General features: G+C 42.4%; 3 annotated features.

Moving 5' to 3' along the window:
- Positions 2,315 to 2,374: an enhancer, noted in NCBI's record as "active region_3371". NCBI's record gives its function as "activates an Ori minimal core promoter by ATAC-STARR-seq in GM12878 lymphoblastoid cells {active_cell/tissue: GM12878}" and the evidence as "EXISTENCE:reporter gene assay evidence [ECO:0000049][PMID:35858748]".
- Positions 2,585 to 2,734: an enhancer, noted in NCBI's record as "active region_3370". NCBI's record gives its function as "activates an Ori minimal core promoter by ATAC-STARR-seq in GM12878 lymphoblastoid cells {active_cell/tissue: GM12878}" and the evidence as "EXISTENCE:reporter gene assay evidence [ECO:0000049][PMID:35858748]".
- Positions 2,755 to 2,914: an enhancer, noted in NCBI's record as "active region_3369". NCBI's record gives its function as "activates an Ori minimal core promoter by ATAC-STARR-seq in GM12878 lymphoblastoid cells {active_cell/tissue: GM12878}" and the evidence as "EXISTENCE:reporter gene assay evidence [ECO:0000049][PMID:35858748]".

The following is a 6,530-nucleotide window of genomic DNA, read 5'->3' as shown; positions in this document are numbered from 1 at the left end:
ACTCACTTGGGCCTTGGTGTCCAGAGTTTTTAACTGGGGCTTGGTTACATAGATATGGTTGACTACCAGTAGATATGGTTGACCACCCATTGACCACCTTAGCTTCCAGCCTTCCAGAGGTTGGGTTGATATTGCAAGGCCTAAAGCCCCACCATAATCACATTATTAGCATAGACTATCTGGCATGGTCTTAGGCTGCCAGGTAACCCCATCTTATCAGGCAGGACATTACAAAGGCTTAAAATACTCTCAGAAGCAAAGGCCTAACTTCTCTTTGTGCAAAGTTCATTCTTTTCCACACAGGGTAGATTAGCTATCTTTCCAATATCCCCTTTGTTCATTCCCTACTTCTCTACCAGATGGTGTTTGGGCATGTGGATCCCACTGTAGGGGGAGATGAGCCTTGATATGAGTGCAGGGCCTATCCTATCTCCTGCCTCTGCTCTGAAGTGGCTGATCCAGTCAGGTTCCCACAGCCTTACAGTGGTCTTCCCCAAGTGCAGTGTTGTTCCTAGGCTCAGTTAGACCCACCCTACCTTACATTTGCCAGGACTGCAGATGCCACCGAGTTCAGCCAGGTCCTCTCTCTAGCCCCTGGCCTTGACGTTAGTGTTATCTCACCCCTAACTACAGAGGCTCCATTATAGCAGGTCCTGAAGCTGCCAATTCTGTTACCTACCTTGTCTGGTTCTACAGGGGGAGTCTGGGAACTTCTGGAGCCCTTCTATGCCTTTTAAGAGGAAAGGCAAGTTTAGGAGTGGGAACACAGGCCCTCTTTCTGTGGAACCATGCCTCTCTGCCGCCTTCCTTGTTCTGTGGTAGCACCAGGTTGGTGTAAGCCATTCTACACCACAGTCTCTTCTCAGAGTTCTGAGCTAGGACTGGGGCACAAGCCCCCTCTGCTTTTGCATCTGGCTCTCCCCCAGTTTATGTACCATATCCTCTTCTTTCCTCTTCCAGACTGTGGCCCGGAGGAGGCAAGCCAGGACACAAGTGTCTGCCCACTTGCTTTTGCTACAATTTGCCTTCTGTTATTTTTCCCACAATCCACCAGGCCAACAGGAAGAACTGCTTCTATATCAGGTTTTCCTCTATCCCCAATAAGGAGGTATTTAGGCTATATTAGTTGAATAGTAGAACCAGATATAAAGAAGGGGATAGAATGGCTGGGCATGATGGCTCACAACTGTAATCCCGGCACTTACGGAGGCCGAAGCGGGCAGATCACTTGAGGCCAGGAGTTTGAGACCAGCCTGGCCAATATGGCAAAATCCTGTCTCTACTAAAAATACAAAAATTAGCTGGGCGTGGTGGTGCATGCCGCAATCCCAGCTACTCTGGAGGCAGAAGAATTGCTTGAACCCAGGAGGTGGAGTTTGCAGTTTTCTAAAGGGAAAGAAAACTATTAATATTTTCAAAATATTATCTCTATTATGCTTGTATAAAGAGTTCAGTAGCAATGAAAACCTGACCCATGGAAAATAGGAAAACTTCTTCCCTTTTCCCTCTTTCCCTTCTTGCCATCTTTCTTAAAGCCCATAGACTTCACAAATAACTTAGCAACTAAAAGGTCGTAGTTTTGGAAATGGAAGGCAGGTCATGTGATTCACTGGAATTTTAATTTTCATGGTAATGATAATAGCTGCCATTTATTTGAACTCTATGTACCAAGTATTGTGCTGAATTAATTTAATTTAATTTAATTAATTTAATTCTCCCCAAAGCGCTATTACTATACCATTACCCCCATTTAGCAGATGAGAAAACAGGCTCAGAGAAGTTAAGTAATTTTCCAAAATCCTATAGCTGGCACTGGAATTTAAAGCCAGTACCATTAGACTACAGGGTCCATGCACTGATTGACTACCCCTCCTAAACTGCCTTTTGATGAGGGATTCATATTTCTGTTTTCTTTGTAATTGCCACATAAGGCATTCAATAAAACACTACTTTATGCTCAGCTGCACTCAGTTTTGCAAGCTTCCAAGGATCCCTTGGTGATAAAGGAGTAATGTGGCACTTAAAACCTGGTCTGATATTGGCATGCACCCTAAAAATGCTGCTGGTATTACTGAGGGAACCAGCCGCTTGGGACTCTTACCTTCCTAATCGCTTCTTAAGGGAACTTGTAATGAATCTAATTGGAAGCATCTACTTAATTCCCTACAAGATAATATCACATAAACCAGAGCAAGAAAGGTGTTAAAATCAATAAATGAGAGAGAAAGAACTGAAAATATAGAGCTAAGGATAGGAGGGCAGGCAGGGCATTGTATATTTGTAGCTCAGGAGAAAAGTCTGGGGCACTTTTTGATAACTGCTGTATGTGCAAAAAAATGTGTTTGGGTGTGGGAACTATGAGGACGTATGTTCCTTTAGACATCTGATAATCTAAACTATGGTAATTTCTGTGGGTATCAGTGAAAAATCTGTGCTGCTGATCTGTTCAAAGTGCAGCACTATGGGCAGATTTCAGATCATACTGAGAATTGAGGCCGTGTGACTGTGATCAAGATTGTACTGGAGCCATCATTTGGTTATTCATTTACCCATTACGGAGTTGAGCTGGGGCTGGGCACGGTGGCACACACCAGCAATCCCACCACTTTCGGAGGCAGAAGTGGGAGGATTGCTTGAGCCCAGGAGTTTAAGACCAGCCTGGGCAACATAACAACCCTGTCTCTACAAAAAAATATTTTAAAAAATTGGGCTGGGTGTAGTAGCTCACGCCTGTAATCCCAGCACTTTGGGAGGCAAAGGTGGGTGGATCACTTGAGGTCAGGAGTTCAAGACCAGCCTGGCCAACATGGGGGAAACCCCATCTCTAGTAAAAATACAAAAAAATTAGCCACGCATGGTGGAGCACACCTGTAGTCCTAGCTACCCAGGAAGCTGAGGCACAAGAATCACTTGAACTTGTGAAGCAGAGGTTGCAGTGAGCCAAGATCAAGCCACTGCATTCCAGCCTGGGCAACAGAGTGAAACTCTGTCTAAAAAGAAAAAAAAAATTTAGCCAGGCATGGTGCCTGCCTGTGGTCCCGTCTACTCAGGAGGCTGAGGTAGGAGGATAGCTTGAGCCCAGGATGTCAAGGCCACAGTGAGCTGTGATTGCACCATTGTACTCTGGCCTGGGAGATGGAATGAGACTCTGCTTCTTTTTTTCTTTTTTTTTTTCTCCTTTTATGGGTAGGACTTGGGTGGGTGGAGATGATATGATGGGGATGGACATTAGAGGGGAAGTCATTAGTGAGCAGAGAGCTAAAGATGGGAAAACGCGGTGTGTGTTCCGGGGTATGGAGAGTTATTTTCTCCAGCTAGACTTTCAGAAGAAGGAAAGAAAGAGAGACAAAACCAGAAGAGCTGAACAGGATCAAATTGTGTAAAATGATGACTGCTAGGACCCCAGGACCAGTGCTCAGTGTGAACCACAGTGGCACTGGGAGGGCCTGGGAGTAGGAAAATCAGTGAGGAGGCTCTGAGCTTGGGTGGGGCAGAAAGGGTAACTTTTTTATGTTTGCTGCTTCCGAGGCTGCAGTAACAATACAGTCCCTCAGTCACCTCTTCCCTCATGGTTGTTCCCACTGTGTGTCTTGCTGGTTTCTCCTCTTGGTAAACCTCCACCATCCCCCGGAGTTGTATCTTTTGTCTTCCTCTCCTCCCCAACCATCTCCCTTCATTACATATCTTAAAAATGTCTTTTATTTTTATTTATTTATTTTTTGATATGGGGTCTCACTCTGCTGCCCAGGCTGGAGTGCAGTGGTGCAATCATAGCTTACTGCAGCCTCACCCTCCAAGCCCAAACAATCCTCCTACCTCAGCCTCCCAAATAGCTGGGACTCCAGGGGCACACTACCACACCCAGCTAATGTCCTTTTTTATTATTTTTATTTTTAGTAGAGACAGGGTCTTACTATGTTGCCCAGGCTGGTTTCAAACTCCTGGGCTCAAGCAATCCATCTGCCTCAGCTTCCCAAAGTGCTGGGATTACAGAAATGAGCCACAACACCCAGCAAAAAATGTCTTTTAGCAGTTTGGTTTTAGCTCACATTTCTGGGGAAATGGTCCTCAACGTCTCCTCCAGGGAGCAATGTTATCAGGTTGGTAGTGGCAGCTGCCAGACTGCAAAGAGTAAAAAAGGAGGCTCTGAATTAGAGGCAATGACCATGCTGAAAGGAGAAGAGAATAAGATAGGCTTTTATTTTTTTTTCTCTTTTTTTTTTTTTTTTTTTTTTTTTGAGGCGGAGTCTCACTCTGTCACCTAGGTTGGAAAATGCAGTGGCGTGATCTCAGCTCACTGCAACCTCCACCTCCCAGGGTCAAGTGATTCTCGTGCCTCAGCCTCCCAAGTAGCTGAGATTACAAGCATGCACCACGATGCCTGGCTAACTTTTTGTATTTTTAGAAGAGACAGGGTTTCACCATGTTGGCCAGGCTGGTCTTGAACCCCTGACCTCAGGTGATTGGACTGCCTTGGCCTCCCAGAATGTGGGGATTACAGATGAAGATAGGCTTTTAAATCCTGGGGTCAGCAGTCTTGGAAGAAGCCAAGTCTGGAGAGAAGCTATGGGGTATTACAAAGAAGTTATTCATGTACAAAGTTAGGAAAAGGGCAGCAAGAGTTAACATTTATTAAAGCTCAGGTTAAAAGGATAGTGTTTTAGTTCATTTTCTGTAGCTTATAACAGAATAGCTGAGAATGGGCAATTTATAAAGAAAAAGAATTTATTTCTTATAGTTACGGAGGCTGAGAAGTCCAAGATTGAGGGACACCAACTGGTGAGGGCCTTCTTGCTGGTGAGGACTCTGTGCAGAGTCCCCCTTTGGCAAAGGGCATTACATGGCAAGGGGGCTGAGTGTGCTAGCTTGGGTCTCTCTTCCTCTTCTTATAAGGCCACGAGTCCCACTTCCATGATCATCCATAGTCCATAAACCCATTAAGCCATTAATCCATTAATGGTAGACCCCTCACAACCCATCACCTCTTAAAGGCCCCTTTCTCAATACTGCCATATTGTTGGTTCAATTTCAACATGAGTTTTGGATGGGACAAATATTCAAACCATTGTAGATTGTCTTGTCTAAATGGATTGAAACTACTCAAAATTAACTTCCTATCTCCTGACTTCAATAAGTCTCTGTCTCTGAGGAACTATTTTCTCCATTTTTTCCAAGACTGCATCTTCTTAAAGCAAAAACAACAAAAACCTAAAATCCGATTTGTCATAGGTGTAATAAGTCAATCATCTAGAATTTCAGTTTGTGTGAAACCAAATATGCAGATAGTTTGAATTGTTAATGAAAAATTAACAATGAAAAATTTCCATCCCATCAATGTCTAATTTGTGTCCCACCATCTCCACAGATTTCTCACTACCCTTGTGAATTCGTAATAGTTGCTGCCTCTAAAAGCCCCCAGATCTTTTATTTCTGAGTCGTTCATTCCAGCAGGTAGTCTGGGCAGTCTCTTTTTATTTAGGCCTTTAAAAAATACTCTAAATTCATTTTTCCCTCAACTGGTATTTTCAAGCCATTTTAAGAATAGTTTTTTATTTCTCTTTAAGATATAAGTGTATATAAAGTGTATATTTTTTTTCTGGACAACTCTGGGAGTACAGTTGTCCAGAAAAATCCACTGATACAAAGTTACTTCACTTCCTTCAGGATATCACAGCTCCTTTTAAACAACAACAACAATTATTATAAGAATAGTAAAGATAAGTCTTAACATGTAAATCCTTGGAAGGAGTTTCATTCAAAAAAATGAACTTCCTATTAAGGAACAAATAAACAGTACTTAATCAATTTATCTTTAAAGGTAAGATTTGAGAGGGGAGGATACCAGCTCCTGAAAGGACAGCAGGTTGAAAGAGAGACTTAAAGCACCTGGGTTGGCTCCCACAGGATGTGGAAGCCACAGAGTCATCTAGATTTACTTCCCAGTTTCCTCATCCATGTTAAAGGTAAACATTAAAGTGGAGTGCATTTCTATCCCTGTTTTCCTTTCTCTGAGTTTGAAATCCAAGTTTTCATTGGATAGCTTCACTTAATGGGGTGCTCTTTTGTTTTCATTATTGTTCACAGAAAAAGCTGTATTTATGGCCTGCTAGTGAATTTGAATAAATTGGGTTTAAAATGATTTTCAGGGTTTTTAATGTATTGACTGCTTTGAAAAGAACAAAAGCAACTCAGAACAATGCCTGTGGCAAATTGCTTGGTACTATTAGAAAATTTCACTTATTTACAAAGAAATATTTCTTTTAAAAAATGGAGACTCTATAATAGATTTAATGCTATACATAGCTAGTTGTTCCTTAAAATAACGAATTGTTTGCAAATTTAATTAGGTCATATATATAGCAATATGTTTAAAATAAGACCTCTTTCCATTCATTACAGCCTATTTCATAAGATAGAGAGTGCTATCCTTTAATTGCACAAGGATGCAGTAAATTATAGTCTTAAAATTCCCTACCAAGGTCTAATTTGGGTCAATGCTGAGATGATGGTGCTTCACAACTTAGCCACAA

Source organism: Homo sapiens, chromosome 10 (assembly GCF_000001405.40).
Source record: "Homo sapiens chromosome 10, GRCh38.p14 Primary Assembly".
Classification (NCBI taxonomy): Eukaryota; Metazoa; Chordata; class Mammalia; order Primates; family Hominidae; genus Homo; species Homo sapiens.
Note: the sequence above shows the minus strand (reverse complement) of the source record. Positions and strands in the feature narration are given on the sequence as shown.